The 16,849-nt window shown below is 38.3% G+C and overlaps 1 protein-coding gene across 8 annotated transcripts in view; it reads left to right on the top strand.

Moving 5' to 3' along the window:
• The window catches only part of MITF (melanocyte inducing transcription factor), a 228,869-nt gene that overhangs the window by 52,891 nt on the left and 159,129 nt on the right, over positions 1 to 16,849 (top strand). Inside the window, exon 2 of one of the 8 annotated variants that reach the window (NM_001354607.2) lies at positions 2,033 to 2,161. The exons of the other annotated variants lie outside the window; for them this stretch is intronic. Within the exon in view, the coding sequence (NP_001341536.1) occupies positions 2,109 to 2,161 (53 nt within the window). The 5' untranslated portion in view covers positions 2,033 to 2,108. The remainder of the gene's footprint in view (positions 1 to 2,032; positions 2,162 to 16,849) is intronic. 8 annotated transcript variants of the gene reach the window in all.

A 16,849-nucleotide genomic window follows, 5' to 3' on the forward strand; every position in this document is an offset into this window, starting at 1 on the left:
ATGTGCTGTTACAGTGATGCCCTTTTTTTCTTTCCTCTCTCATCTCCTTGCTTTTTCCTTCCCTCCCTTCTTAAGCTCAAGCTTTCATTATATGATTTTTTTTTTAAATTCCAAAAGAATAACGATAGTGTATAGATAAAATGTGGTTAATTTCCCTACTCACCATCCCTAATCCTACTCTTCTAAAGAAATCAATATTAAGAGTTTGGTTTATATCAACAATCCTTCCCCAACCCATGCAAATAAGATATGTATCTAGAGAAATTTGTTTTTCTAATTTTTACAAAAGTGGACTCGTTCTGGGTACAGAATCTTGTAACTTGACTTCCCTGGCATTATTTTATTGGCATCTCTCCAAATCAGTACATTTAGCTCAAAATCGCTACTTTTAATGGCTAATTTTTTTAATAGTATAGTTTTATCACAATTTATTCATAAAATTCCTTATTGATTGATTCCTCTGCCCCACTAAAAATTTCCTCTCCTCCACTAAAAAGATAGCATTGCATATTTTAATTACACATACATATTTTTAAAGCTTTACCCTGTATAATATTTGAAGAGGAAAATTAAAGGGTTTCTAAATGTTTCATTTGCTTTATTACTTTAAATTTTTTCTTGTTTTATGGGCTAAAGTCTTTAGCTTTTTTTTTTTTTTTTTTTTTTTTTTTTTTTTTAAACAGGGTCTCCCTCTGCCACCCATGCTGAAGTACAGTGGTGCAATCACCGTTCCTGGGCAACCTCGATTTCCTGGGCCGAAGTGATCTTCCCACTTCAGCCTCCTGAGTAGCTGGAACTATAGGCGCTTGCCACCACACCTGGCTAATTTTTTTGTATTTTTTGTAGAGATGGGGTTTCGCCATGTTGCCCAGGCTGGTCTTGAACTACTAGGCTCAAGCAGTCTGCCTGCTTCGGCCTCCCAAAGTGTTGGGATTACAGGCGTAAGCCACTGCACCCAGCCAGATTTTCTAATTTGCTGATTTACCTCTTTGAATTTTTGCATTATAGCTATCTATGCTGTATAGTGAAGGATTTCTCAAGCTCGGCATTTTAGTCATTTTAGGTCATATAGCTCTTTGGTGTGAGTAGCTGTGCTGTGTGTTGTGGAACACGTAGCGTCCCTGGCTTCTACCCATTAGATGCTCATAGCATGCACCCTCTCCCAATGCTCATAGCATGCACCCTCTCCCAATGCTCAAGTTATGATGACCAAAAATGTCTCTAGTCACTGCCAGATGTTCCTTGGGTGGAAAAATTGCTCCTGTTGAGAACCACTCCTATAATGTATATAAGGTATATATTTAAAAACCCAGTTATGTGGAAGAACACTACTTTTCTTTATGTATTCACCAACACTTGGCAACATGAATGTAATGTCACATGCATTAGAAGTGAATCTCAGTATTGGGCCCCAGATAGTGAGCTTCACTTAGTTCCTGTGTACAAGCCAGCACTGGAATGATCTTCAGTTTATGCCATTTTGGTATCCATAATGGCACATAGACAACAGTGTCCTCATTTATAAGTTGTGCTATCTCAATCAGACAGTTTGAATATTTTCTGGCTGTGGTGGGGCAACACCTACTCAAATGAGGCAGGAATGCCATTTGCGTCTGACATCATTTTCTTCGACTGGGATTTGAGCAGTTCACGAGGCACCCATTGTCCCACCCATGTCACCCCAGCTATATGAAGTGTATAGGAGGCAGTGGCATCCAGGTAGCCAACGACCTCTTTCCTCTCCTAGTATCTTTTCTACAGAGTCTCCCCCAACTTCTGGCCTTGAGCAAAATAGCCCCATTGGGAAGATCACTGAGGGAAACTGCTGTTTCCACATATTCTATAATCTTTTTCTGTGAAAAGGTGAGCTATATATATAATTATTTAAGTTTCTTCACATTTGCAGGTGGCTATTGTGGTTGGTCTGCTTAACGAAATAGGGTGTGGTGTTATGTATGTGAACAAAGCTGGGCATCAGGCCCTTCATCAGAAATGTGACCCCTTATTAAAGCATTGTTTTTTGTTTTTACAGAAAGTCAGATGGCTTTGTGTTGTTTGACGTGGTTCCTTTTCCAAATAGATGACTGTAAAGATGACCTGATGATCCTATGGACTGGGCTATAAACTTTGTGCATCTCCCTTCTTGTGCCTTAATGGCAAGGTAAGATGCTGGAGAACCAATTCTCATGTCCTTGGTTGGCATTTTAATCGTGGTAGCTTGGTCATCAGGGTAATGGCAACACGTTAAAATTCACATGCATTAAAAAAATAGCAGTGTCATCCAGGCTGCTTTGCATTTGTTATTTGTTTATTTATTTATACATAGATACACATCCATGTAGCTACTGCCCAGGTCAAGAATTAGGACATTTCCAGCACAGTAGAAGATTCCCTTTTCCCCATCTTAGCCAGTAAGCACTTCCCGAAAGAATCCATTAGTCTGACCTCAATCACTCTGACTTAGTTTTGTCTATTCTTGAACTCCACGGAAATGGAATCAAATAGTATTTGTTCTTTGGTGACTAGCTTTTTTAGTCTAACAGTATAGCTGAAGTACATTCGTACTGGGACATGTAACAGTAGTTTGTACTTTTTGATGCTGTGTGAGTAGTAGGCTCTGTATGAATAATTTATTCAATCTTTCTACTCATTATGGTGGGCATTTGGGTTCTTTCCTAGGTGAGGATATGAGGAACAAAGCTGCCCTGAATATCCCTGTACATGTCTTCAGTGGATGATGTATTTTCTTTTGGGTAAATACCTGGGAGTGGAATGGTTAGCTCATCTTTTGATAGATTTATTCTTAGTTATTTAAATGTTTTGATGCTGTTGTAAATAGATTTTCTTTTAAAATCTTAATTTTCTCCCAAGCGATGTATTATGTTTTCATTTGCAAACTAGTATATTTTAATAGATGCCATGAAACATGCATTAAAATTAATATTTGCCTCTTTTTAAGAGAGCCTGATATACGACACTTCTAATTTTTAAAAAACATATAGAAAATTACGTGATAACTCTTGATATAAATATTGCATTTGGTTTTTAAAAAACAATGAACTGTCTTACATTATTTAAAAATAAATCTAGGCTGGGCATAGCGGCTTATTCCTATAATCTTAGCACTTTGGGAGGCCGAGGTGGGAGGATCTCCTGAGCCCAGGAGTTTGAGACCAGCCTGGACAACATGACAAGACCTCATCTCTACAAAAATTTTAAAAATTGGCTGAGCATGGTGGTGTGTACCTGTGGTCCCAGCTACTTGGGAGGCTGAGGTGGGAGGATTGCTTGAGCCTGGGAGGTTGAGGCTGCAGTGAGCCCTCTTTGCACCATTGCACTCCTGCCTGGGTGACAGAGTGAAACCGTGTTTCAGAAAATAAAAGGTAAAAAATAAATCTAATTACAACATGCAAATATTTTCAAAATATTTCTCATACAAAGCTAATATATTAAATCAATCTAATTTCAAAGGCACGTATTTAAAAAATATAAGTATATAATACACATTTTTAGATTATCTGTGATTTATTTTTGTTCATATGTATACCACAACATTTTATATAGGGGTCTTTTACATCATAAATCAAATCCACTGTTATGAAGCAAAATTTTAATCTTTTGTTGCTATTTTTGTTTTTGTTTTTTGAGACGGAGTTGCGCTCAGTCGCCCAGGCTGGAGAGCAGTGGCACAATCTTGACTCACTGCAGCCGCCGTCTCCTGGGTTCAAATGATTCTCCTGTCTCAGACTCCCGAGTAGTAGGGATTACAGGCATGTGCCACCACACCAGCTAATTTTTGTATTTTTAGTAAAGACAGGGTTTCTTCATGTTGGCCAGGCTGGTCTTGAATTCCTGACCTCAGGTGATCTGCCTGCCTCGGCCTCCTAAAGTGCTGGGATTACAGGCATGAGCCACTGCGCCTGGCCTCTGTTGCTATTTTTGAAGATTGTGTTTAGTTTGTATTCATTTTAGAAATATGGCAAAGCATTCTTTCTTATTTAGAAAAGGGAATCTAATCTGAAAGGATTTTTTTTTCTTTTAGTGCCTATGAGGAATTTCCTAAATACTTTTGCAGGTAGTAAAACATTTAAAGCTGCTTGAATGCACAGCAGTTTGTGAAGCTTACAAACACCGTCTTTCTTTTTTTTTTTTTTTTTTTTTTTGAGACGGAGTCTCGCTCTGTCGCCCAGGCCGGACTGCGGACTGCAGTGGCGCAATCTCGGCTCACTGCAAGCTCCGCTTCCCGGGTTCACGCCATTCTGCTGCCTCAGCCTCCCAAGTAGCTGGGACTACAGGCGCCCGCCACCGCGCCCGGCTAATTTTTTGTATTTTTGGTAGAGACGGGGTTTCACCTTGTTAGCCAGGATGGTCTCGATCTCCTGACCTCATGATCCACCCGCCTCGGCCTCCCAAAGTGCAAACACCGTCTTTCTAAGATAGTCATGAAACATAACCTGGGACAGAGTGATTTGTTAGGCCATATCTATTGCCTTGACAACAAACTAAACATTTCAAAATACTTGAGCAAATGCCACCAACAAGTGATGTGTAGGGGTTAAGTGGTTAAAGCAGAAGCACCAAGACCATGTTTGTGTGATAAAGGTTGCAGAAACTGTACCCATTTTATAGGAGACTTTTATTGCAGGTTTTCTGACTCTAACATAAGCTAAATACATTAGCAAGGAGAACATCTACTATTCTAAGTTTATAAATTATTTTTAATGGGAGTATGCAGGGATTTGTATCATAATTTAGTCCAGAGGGTATACCTCTAATTCGCTCCCTTCAAGCCAATTTAATGCCACATGTGAATGGAAAATTGTATTACACCTATCCCAGGTGCTGAAGGTCAGAGTGATACAGGAAATCTAAAATACCAATCTTTGTGCTCAAGGAGTTTGTTTGAGTTTTTTAACCTGTGTTCTCAGATTGTACATATTCAGAGAGGTATTTTATTTTTTGTCTCGATGGAAATTTCTACAAATCATATAAATGAAGACTTATTATAGCATCTACTGTTATACTAAAGATCATTTATTAAATATTTTCTGGGAATGAATGGACTACAGAAAAGAAATGGATTCTTTTGGCCAGACAGGAAAGATTTTCTATTTTGGTGGACTAAAAAAATAAATAAATAATACAATATTATTTTTGCCTTAGATTTTGAAGGGGTATAGGTGTGATGGTGGAGTAATTAAGAATTTAGAGAGCCCATTTCACTCTTTTCTGTTTTCTTGAATTCTCATAGTTTAATATTGTCCTCTTTGGTTGAAAGCAACATCTACTTTCAGTCTTGATTTTAAAATGCTGACACTTTCACTGTACATTTTGTGAAGAATAATACGATTCCCCAAGGTGACTTGATTGTCAAAGTCATTTCTTCCACCCATGTTGGTGGAAATACCCAACATTTTTCATCTATAACCAAGGTTATCTTTATCTTTTTGCAGTCAGTGCCATGGTAACAGGTAGTGATACAAATCTGGGACCCCTGAGTGCTGTGGGTCAGAGATTACAATAAAAATATAAATGTTGGTTGCAGAAGCAACGTACATTTTAGATGTTTATGGAGGGCTTTAAACTGATCACAGATAAAGTGGTGACTCATAGTTTTCATTTTTAATTAATCAGCATTCAAATTGAAGAGGAAAATCCATCCAGAACTTTTTGTTGGCTTCAGTGGATCTGAATCCCAGTACTGTGACTCTGAGCTGGGATATGTGTACCCACCTTAGGCCTGTAACTGATCTGGTTCTGCCTCAGTCTCCCCATGTGTAAAGTGGGGATAATGCTACCTACATCATGCAGTTGGGAGGATTAAAAGCCCAGTTGATAGAAATGTGCCTAGCACAGTTCCTGGCTCTATAGTAGCTGATGTTCTTATTATTTTTATAGTGAGGAAACCATGTTGTATTAGTGGAAGCCAGGCAGATCGACTTTATTGAATTCCTTCTATATGTTTTTGTCAGCTGCACAGTCTTGGCCAAGTAATTTAAGTCACTTAGTCCCCTTGGAGTCTTGGTTTGGTCACATGCAAAATGGGGTTCATACTATTTATCATTCAGAGTTGTTGTGAGGAAAACACAATATATTTAAAGCGCATAGCATGGTTCCTGGCACCTAATAAGCATTCAGCAAGTGATAGCTGCTACTATTATTATGATTGTGGTTGTTATTGTCATTTTCATGATTAGACTGTGTGTCCACATCTCAGTATTTTTGCTGCTATTTTTATAGCCCAGCTACTATCATCTCTCTGTAGATTATTGCAACAGCCCTCTAACCCTTCCCCCTCTGTTTCTATAAAGACCCAAATGGTCTGGCCTTTGCCAACCTCCCTGGTCTCCCACATTGCCTCCCCATAGTGCTTTAGCAACAGTGGACTTCATTTATTCCTGAAAATGCATTATACTCCTTCCCTGCACAGGGCCTTTGCATATGCTGCTTTTTCTTCTTGGAATAGTCTGACCTCTTTCTACCTCTCCTTCCACCCTTTCACTCTCCTACTCATCCCCTTGTTAATACACTCATAGGTCCTGATACATCACCTTCATTTTGCCTTGTACTTAATTACTTAATTTGCTTGTCCTTTTACATTTATTTGTGTGATCATTTGATGAATTCTGTGTCTCATCCTAGACTCTGATGCCCTAGGTTCTGATACAGCAGAGAGAGCGTCAGACTTGGATTACCATGGTATGTTTCTTTAGTTCCCCAACACACTCATTTGTTGAGGGAGTGAGTGAATAAATGAATGAATGATTATGATGATAATCTGATGATAATATAAAATATCTGGGCAACAATTGAGGAGATAGAGGAGGTTTTAGGATGTGAGGTTCATCCTTGGGAGAATGCATAGTGAGAAGGCAGATTTGCTAATGATTTGGGACACCAGTGAGGAAAAATGGTGTGTCTGTGCAGGAGGACGAATGGTTAAATGAAGAAATGCAGGGAGGGAGGAAGAAGCTGAGCAGGAAATAGTTGTGGAGTGTTGGAAAGAGGAAATAACTGGGAAGTGACCTGACAGAAAATTGGGCATGTATTTCCTTTGCTACAGTTTTTATTTCTCTGATTTAAGCATTGTCACATTGGCTCTTTTTGTTGTTGTTGTTTTTAAGTCTGATTTACAATATTCTTTTTACCTGTAGGATGCCACGTCTATCTGTTTACATGGACAAAGTTATACACCCAAAACGGGCAAAGACACAGTAGCAGTTTAGCCTTTGTTTTGTCTTCCTTTCCTAGGACAAATGCCCCCTCCCTTTAAAACAGTTTCTTTCACACTGTCTTATTTCTTTGGTCAAAAATCTACTGTTTTTTGTTTGTTTGTTTGTTTTTGTAGTTCTCTACTCTGATGTAATCTCCTTAGTATGCTCTTAGGGTAAACTGTTTCTCATTGTTTAAAGTTTCCAGCATTGGTTTCTCATTTTTGTTGTTCGTGTCACTGAAGAGAGCAGGGGGGTTTTCACAAAGAAACCTATACTGGGACCACTATCAGGTGCTGTGTGGTTATAAGGGGTGAGGAACTAAATAGACATCTATAAATTTAGTGTTTTTCAGTCTCTATGTTTTTCTTTTAGCATAATTTTAAATTGAGATGTAATTCACATAAATGAAATTTATCATTTTAACATGTACACTTCAGTAGTTTTAAATATATTCACTATGTTGTGTAGCTGTCACCATTATCTAATTCCAAAACATTTCCATCACCCCAATAAGAAGCTTCGTACCTATTAGCAGTTAGTCCCAACTCCCCTGCTCCTATCCCATGGCAACCATTAATCTACTTTGTCTTCATGGATTTGCCTACTGGACATTTCATATAAATGGGATTATACATTATGTGGCCTTTCATGTCTAGCTTCTTTCACTTAGCATATTTTCAAGATTCAGCCTTGAAAGGAATGACCTTTTTATGGTCATTCCTTTTTATGGACAAGTAATATTCCAGTGTAGGGATATACCACATTTTGTTTATTCATTTTTCAGCTGATGGACATTTGAATTGCTTCCACTTTTGCCTGCTATGAACTTTCTTGTACAAGTTTTTGTGTGAACATATGTTTTCAGTTCTCTTGAGTATTTACCTAAGAGCGGAATGGCTGGGTCACATGATTAAACATACCATAGATCATCACATGGTATGTTTAATCTTTTAAGGAGCTGCCATGCTGTTCTTACAGCAGGCAAACCACTTTGCATTCCCACCAGCAATGTGTCAGGGTGCCAGTTTTTCCACATCTTTGCCAACACTTGTTATTTTCAGTTAAAAAAAAATTATAGCCATCCTAGTGTTGTGAAGTGGTCATTGTGTCTCTTTTATTCTTTTGTGGTGACTCTTCGTGGCCTTAATTAGTTCCTCCCCCCTTTTCATTTAAAAAAAAATTGGATATTGTTCTTGTCATTTTTATTAGCTCTAAATTTTGAATGGGCCCTCTGTAGCACAGGGGAAATATAAAATAGAATTTGAAATACTACTTTATAACTGGGAAACAGCATGCTTAGAGAAAGTGACTGAACCAGAAAAAGGCAGTTATGGCCTACAAATTAGGATTTATTCTACCAAAGGAGACCTCAAGTAAATATTCTTATGTATAAATTATAGAAACCTCTCATTATAGGAATAAAAGTCAGAAAATGAAATTGGGGTAATAACAATTCCTCTTTATGGTTTGTTGTTTTCCTTGTGTAACTTTTTTTTTTTTTTTTACCTTGAAATGCTATTCCTTATATGCTGTTACCGTGAAGGTTGTTCATTTGTACACTAATCTTGGAAGATCTTTGAAATCCTGTAGAAAAAGCTCGGCTGACGTTAGCCAAGCTCATTTTGTATTCCATTGTTTCGAGTGGCTAAAATATCAGGACTAAAGGCCTGGAATTAAGAAGCTTAAATAATTATAGATTCCCTCTCCTCCCATTCATTAGATGTAATTTAGTACTGAAAAAAATAAAATTACTCAACTTGGATTGAAGTTCAGCGGTCTTAAATCCTTCTAAAATTCTGAATATGAATTTTTCATTGTAAACTGTGACAATGTCAAATCAATAACAGTATAGTTTTCTTATATCCAGGGTCACCATCATCACCTAGAAATGCGTAATGAATACTTTATTTGTGGTCTCTGATTTCTAGGAACTTAACAGTGGAATATAGACCGCATTGATGCCAAGAGATATCAAGGGTTGTGAAGCATTGCTGCATATACCAGGCAGCAGGAAGTCATTAATTATAAGGTTGGAAGAGGCAACTGTGATATATTTTACATGAGTACTTTAAGGGACCATTTTAGATTCCATGCAGTAGGAAGGCATACCAAACTGTGATTATTCTAAGAAAAGAAAATTAAGAAAAATGTTTGAAGGAGACAAGTATTTGTTGAGGGCCTACTGGGTGACAAACTGCATTGGAAAATGGGCTATAGAGTATGGTGGAGAGCTCAGGGCCTTGGAGTCAGATGACTTCAATTTGAATTTTGGCTATGACAACTGCTATTTGGGTGCTTATGGGAGTAAGAGAACTGCAATCTATATGATTGTAGTGAGGATTGGAGGGAATCAAGTGATTTGTCTCTATTCTGTGCCTGGCATGTAATAGGCCCTCAATAAACATGGGTCTTATTATTGTTAGTATTGTCATTATTATTATTTTTGTAATTTAATTATTACAACCATTACTTGAGGAAAGTGGTATTGTACACATTTTCATATGAGAAAACAAGGCTTAAGTAACCAAGAGATTTGCCTAGAGCAGTGGCTCTCACCTGAGGATGATTTTAGCTCCCAGAAGACATTGGGCAATGTCTGGAGAGCTGTTTTTGGTGGTCCCAACTGGCAGCGCAGGGTGTTACTGGCATCTCCTGGGTATAGGCCAGGGGTGCTGCCGAACATTCTGGAATGCATAGGACAGCCTCTGCAACAATGATCCAGCCCCAAATGTCAATCGTGCCAAGGCTGAGAAAGTCTGGCCTAGAGTCATGGACCTGCCAGATCAAGGAGCAGAATTCGAATTCTTTTCTGATTCGTGCGTTTAGATGTTCTCCCTGAAGCTATTCCATTCCTTCATGAAAATCCAGGGAGTGAAATAAAGTTAGTTTTTGGCAAGTCCCTTTAACTTTTCAGATAATATTCTGATGGCTTGAGACTCAAATATGGTGTCATGGGGTGGGTGACAGGCCAAGTACAGGGAAACTGAGGTGATGTGTGAGGGAACCGCCATCCATTCATTTTTCACCATTCATTTGTGTATTGAATCATTATTGATCATTGACTTCCCAAACACTTAGTGAGCACCTACTGTGTGCTAGTCCACAGTCCATATTCTTTTTTTTTTTTTTTTTTTTTTTTTTAGAGGATGTTTGGCTCTTATTGCCCAGGCTGGAGTGCAATGGTGTGATCTCGGCTTACTGCAATCTCCGCCTCCTAGGTTCCAGTGATTCTCCTGCCTCAGCCTCCCTAGTAGCTGGGATTACAGGCATGTGCCACCATGCCTAGCTAATTTTGTATTTTTAGTAGAGACGGAGTTTCTCCCCTCAGCCTCCCTAGTAGCTGGGATTACAGGCATGTGCCACCATGCCTAGCTAATTTTGTATTTTTAGTAGGGACGGGGTTTCTCCATGTTGGTCAGGCTGGTCTCGAACTCCCGACCTCAGGCGATCTGCCCGCCTCAGCCTCCCAAAGTGCTGGGATTACAGGGGTGAGCCACCGCTCCCAGCCCACAGTCCATATTCTTATGCAGCTTCTGTTTTGCCAGCCAAACCTTACTGAGAAATGAAAGATAACATTTCTGACATGAAACATAAGAAATGAAAAATATGCTTCAGTATACAAAAGTCCAGTTTATGAAGCTGTGTGTTTGGAGGCCTCACACTGATATTTGTTCATTTATTCATTGACTATTCAAAATACATTTGTACACTGCCGTCTTCTTGGGTATATACCCCCTAAGAAACTCTGTTGTCTGTCTTTTCATAAACCCTATGTTTAATGGCAGTTTTATCATTTCATTGCAAGTAAAAATCCTTTCAGAAACAGGGGCTGTATTTTTCTGTGTCTCTGAGGACTTTTGGAGGTTAATGCTTGGAGAAGGAACTCTTCCTTGGACATTTCCTGAGCCCTGTGGTTTACTTTTAATAATTATTTTGGTATGAAATAGTTTGCTGGGTTTTGTGGTTAGTGTCATAAAGTACCTAATTTCCCTAAAGAAAAATAAAGCCTTGACATATTAAAAAAAGGTTGAATTGAATAAAAGTAAATCTAATTTTTTAAAATAAGTGTCTGTTATTGTAGAAATTTCTTTAATGACAGAAAACAGGCACATGTGTGTGCACACACATATACATCTCAAAACGATACATCTAAGGCCTTGCTTCTCAACAGTTTGTAATTTCCTCCTAGGAAAAAACAAGAATTGCTGCTGCTGTTATTATTCTTATGAACTCCATTGATCTAATAACTCATGTTTTTTTTTTTTTTTAAATTAACCACAAATTTTCCTGTAGTGAGGAAGAGGTAAACAGTTTCCTTGATGTTGGGAAGTCCCTTTTTTAGAAGTGTATAGTCACCGCAAATTAGCTAGGCTGTTAATTTTTTTTTCTTCTTTTCTGTTCTTGTCTAAATAGAAGAATCCATGAAGCAAATGTATCCTGTGCTGGGCTTATGGAAGAACTTGCGGTTGAACACCACAAAACACAGTTTCCTTGGTCACTCCTTTGTAGTCTGAAATGTTTGAACAGTTTAATTGTATATGAAATGTCTAAATAGTTTAATTCTTTGACTCATGGGACAGCCAACTCTGTGATCTTTCTGAAGTACTAAAAATACATGAACAGTTGTTACGACAGACAATGTAAGATTTTGTTTCTTGATCAAGTTTTGTTAGATTTCTCTTCTCTTCTTCCCTCTCCTTTGTTCCCCTCCCATCTCTTCTCTCCCATTTCCCTCCCCTTCCTCTCCCCTACCCCCTTTCCCCTTTACTCCCTCTCTTCTCTCCTCTCCCTTCTCCACCTTTTCCTCAACAGTTAATCTCTTTGAACCCTTTGCACCCTTTCGGGGTTGAGGCTCCCTCTTTTATTCTGGCGTTTCCCTCTTTTTCCACATTCTTTAACACTTAACCTTTTCTCTCTATAATTCTTCCATGCCCAACATTTACTACATTTTTGTGAATAAATCTCTTAAAATATACACTTGATATTAGGATGTTTATTTTTTTACTTGAATTTTGGAAAGTTTATGTACGAAAGTGCAGTTAAGAATTGGTAGTTTCAAGATGTGGTTTGCTTTTGTGATATGAGAGCAAGTGTTTTTATTTGACTCTAACATGTATCATTTCAATTTCTTTTTGTTCTGCTTTCGAGGGTCTCTGCAGGGTCTCAGAGTCCTGGAGGGGCAGAGACCATCTTCAGTGAGGGAGCTCTGAGTGAAGGAAGATCTGGGAGTTGGCTGTCTTGTGGAAGGTCAGCGTGATGACGTCTCTAGACTTAATCATGCTGAATCCTGTCCCTTGAATTTGAAAGGCTATACAATAATTTTGTCCTGCTTATCAGAGCCATAAAACCACATTAAGGTATAGATAGAGGGCACAGCTCTTTCACACATGTGTATTGCTAATGGTTCTGAATCTAGTTTTTAAATAAAGCTTGTCATTTTCTGGGTGTATTGTGGAGACATGTTATAGGAATCATTTGCTGACTCTTCATGTTCATTCTATTTAAACAAACAAGAACCAAGTCTACAATATGACATAATTTTGCCTTGTAACTTTTTTTCTGATCTTGCAATTTCCCTTTGTCTTCTTAGCTAACCAATTTAAGTTAGGAAGATAATTGATCTATTGCCACGTGTTTCTTAACCTCCTCTCCATTTGTAATCCTTTCTTCTCGGTTGGAAGGAAACTAGAATTTAAAAATAACTAATATTTTGATGACCATTTATAATTTTATCTAAAATTTTAATGGTAACTTTGATGTTTTAAAGGTATTCCACACCTCAGAATCCCCCTCTAATAATTTTTAAGGATTTCTTCCTTGGGTGGAGCAAAAAAGAATGAGGCCTTCCCTGACCATCTCATGTTATGGTAAATGACAGCTACCTGCTGGTTTCTTGGGTTTTTTTGCAGTGATTAAGAACATTTGTTATCATGTATTTTAATCATCTGTGTATTTGCTTATTTGTTGTTATCTTTTCCGCTGTATATTACAAGGGCAGGAAGAATGTTAGTTTTGTTCACAATCCTCTAATATTTAATATGTGCATGGTATGCAACAGACACTCGATAAATATTTGGTGAGTGAAAAAATGCATCTTTCTTTTTTTAAATGACGAGGTCGTTCTCTGTCACCTAGGCTGGAGTGCAGTGGCATGATCATAGCTTACTGTAACCTCCAACCCCTGGCCTCAAGCAATCCTCCTGCCTCAGCCTACCAAATAGCTAGGACTACAGGCATATGCCACCATGTCTGGCTAATTTTTTAAATTTTTTTGTGGAGACAAGATCTTTCTATGTTTTCCAGACTGGTCTCAAACTCCTAGCCTTAGGTGATCCTCCTGCCTTGTTCTTCCAAAGTACTGGGATTATAGGTATGAGCCACCATGCATGGCCAAAAATGCATTTTTAGAAGAATGGATATAGAGCTGTTATGACTTAGTCCATTTAATATAGACTAATTATGTGAAAATCTACTTTGCAAAGCGGATTTGGGGTCCACGGTATCTGTTAGCAGAGCCAATTTTTTTTTTTTTTTGAGACAGAATCTCACTCTGTCGCCCAGGCTGGAGTGCAATGGCATGATCTCGGCTCACTGCAACTTCTGCCTCCCGGGTTCAAGTGATTCTCCTGCCTCAGCCTCCTGAGTAGCTGGGATTACAGGTACCCACCACTATGCCTGGCTAATTTTTGTATTTTTTTGGTAGAGACAGGGTTTTACCATGTTGGCCAGGCTGGTCTTGAACTCCTGACCTCAAGTGATCACCTGCCTTGGCCTCCCAAAGTGCTGGGATTACAGGTGTGAGCCACTGCACCCGGCCCATTTTACTAATTTTTAACTGAAGAGTTGGTTTTCAAATGAGGAATTCATTTGATAATGAGAAAGGTTTTTTTTAACTTTGGGGGTCAAGAGCCAATGTATAATTTGAAGATAAAGGTCCTTTCCCCAGAAAAATGTAGTTAGACCATTACAAATTTTTGCATATAATCATAAGATTTATGGATCTTTAGAGGTGGGTCCTTGAACTCCAGTACTAAGAACTCAGGCTAAGAACTCATATGTAACAGTTCCACTTAATTTTTAGGTTGGGTTTGCAGCAATTTATGAGGATAATAATTCGTGCTGAAGATGAAAGACAAAAGTGTCAGATGCCCGGCGAGGACAGTGCTATCCACTAAGGGGTTTAATTCTTGCCTCCATTCTCTCTGAGGCTTTTAAAATAAATAACAGGATTCTGATAAAGATTGAGCTGTTTCACTTGAGACTCTGTGGGCCTATGGACTTGTAATGAAAACCACAGTTATTGTTAGTTTATTTCCATGTGTAATTAAAGACAGGAAAAAAATACAAGCCAGTAAAATGAGTAATGCAAGGAAATTCTGATGCACAGCTTCCTTTTGAAGATGGTTTTACACATTCATTCCTGTCTAGTTCCCTGTTGAAGATTCTTATCTTGGCTGCGTAGATTGTTCAGAATTTTCACCCCATAGGAAAACAACTAAACTGGTTTGCCTCTTCTTGGCTGGGGGAGCCCTCCAAGCAGGTATTCTGGCTGAGCTAGGCCATATTCTCTCTTAAGTTACATGATTTCACCTATCATGTTGGTTGGTGGTCTTATTGCCTGACTTCTCTTTTATTTACAATTCCTGTGGTACATTATAGCTTTCTGGAGCCAGGTTAAGAATGAGATAGTCTGCCCCCAACCCCAGGAATGCTTGGATGTTATTTTCTGGTCTTGGCAACCTAAGGATCTCTTAACTTCTTTAATCTGATTAATGGGGAATTCAGAACTATAGTTACAAAATAGTTTGCCTAAGCTATTACTGCTTTGATGGAATTAATGATCAAATATTGGCTAATGCCCAAAGCAGATTCGTGAACTGTGCTTAATTTTACATTTCCCTTCTCAAAGGCAATTGTGGAACAAAGACCTTTTATGTTGGTTGAACCCAATTAATGAATGGAAATGTAATTTCATTTCTTCTACAACTATGGTTGAATTTGATGAGTCTTGCTTGTCTACAACAACATGCATACGAATATCACTTTGTTTTTACTAAGTGAAGTTATTAAGGCAAAACACTTTTTGTTGAACTTCTATGGTGGATAAGCCACTTTGATACCTTTATTTGGGTCAAAATGTTCTTTAAACAGCCTTTGAGGCATTGACCTCATCAAAGCAGTTAATTTTCCAATGACCCATTTTGGAGTAACATGGACACAATGGCAGCTTCTCTAGACTTGATCTAAAGTGTAGCATAGTTGGTAACTAAGCTTCGTGATTGCAAATGCCAGAGACTGTTAAGAGCTGGTTGTATATTTGATGACTCTGTTTGTTTAGCAGTTTGTTAGAAGCTACTTGGTTGATCTTGGCTTTTTGCCTGATGTACATATGTATATATATAAATATAATATGTAAATAATATATAGACTTAACAGGTCAGCCTGTTTTATAAATAAAAATGGGAGCATTGCTCAGAAAATGGCAAAAGAATGAGACATAGTATGTATTTATATATACAGATATAAAATATAAAAATATAGATAGTATAATATATAATATAAAAATATATAAATATATATATAAAATTAGAGTGTTCTGTTACAAGATTTGTACTCATTAATAAGTCAATCAATTTTAATGACTACTTGATATAATTGTAAAAGTATTTACAGGGGATTCAATGATGAACTGAAACCAGAATAACCGTACAAGTTTTAGTTCAGTTATATGCCTTTGAGAGTCAAGGGGGGCACTTTTAAGTACTCTAGGGCAGCAGGTATAAACTGGAACTATCTCAGGAAAGTTGAGATGAATGGTCACTGTAATTAAAGCATACATATTCTCTGTCATGGGGCTTGCAGGCAACGGGGGAGACATAGACAAATCCAATAATCAGATAGTGAATACCAATTTATAGCTGTAAAAAAATGATAAAGTGCATATAGTAAGAGGAGTTGATCTGGTCATGGGTTAGGGAAGGCCTCCCTAGGGAGGTAAAGTGTTTGCTGAGCTCTGGAAGAAGAGTAGGAGTGGAGTAGGGGAGAAGGGAGTACGGTGTGACCAAGGAATTGCCAGAAGACCAGGGAGACTCACTCATGGACATCAGAGCAGAGCCTGGTGAGGGAAGAGGCTAGGAAGCTGGGTAGGGTTCACACCATGCAGGACCTTGACCTCCCTGGGAAGGGTTTAGATCTTTACCCTAACTGCCATGGGAAGCCATTACAGATTTTAGTGGAGGAGGTGAGGGGGAGGGATTTTTAGATGGGTGAATCACATGATCAGATGTGCTTTGGGAAAAGATCATTTGGGCTGTAATGTGGAGAAGAGATTGAACAGGGATGGGTAGGGTGAAGTGGGGCTGGGGACAAAAGTAAGTTTGGGGAGAGTGGTTCAGTGGCTTTGCATTAATCCAAGTGGGAGACTATGATGACTTTAGAGTAGTAACAGTGGGGTGGAGCATATGGATAAATTTAAGAGATATTTTGGAGCAAACTCAACAGGACTCTTCCAAACTTAAGAGTTTGGAAACAGACTCTTATGGTGAAGGAAGGGTATTTAAAATTATTTTGTGCCTCCTATAATAATATTACAGTTTTGTTGTGTCTGGTCAGCCTGTTTTATAAATAAAAATGGA

This window comes from Homo sapiens, chromosome 3, assembly GCF_000001405.40.
Source record: "Homo sapiens chromosome 3, GRCh38.p14 Primary Assembly".
NCBI lineage: Eukaryota > Metazoa > Chordata > Mammalia > Primates > Hominidae > Homo > Homo sapiens.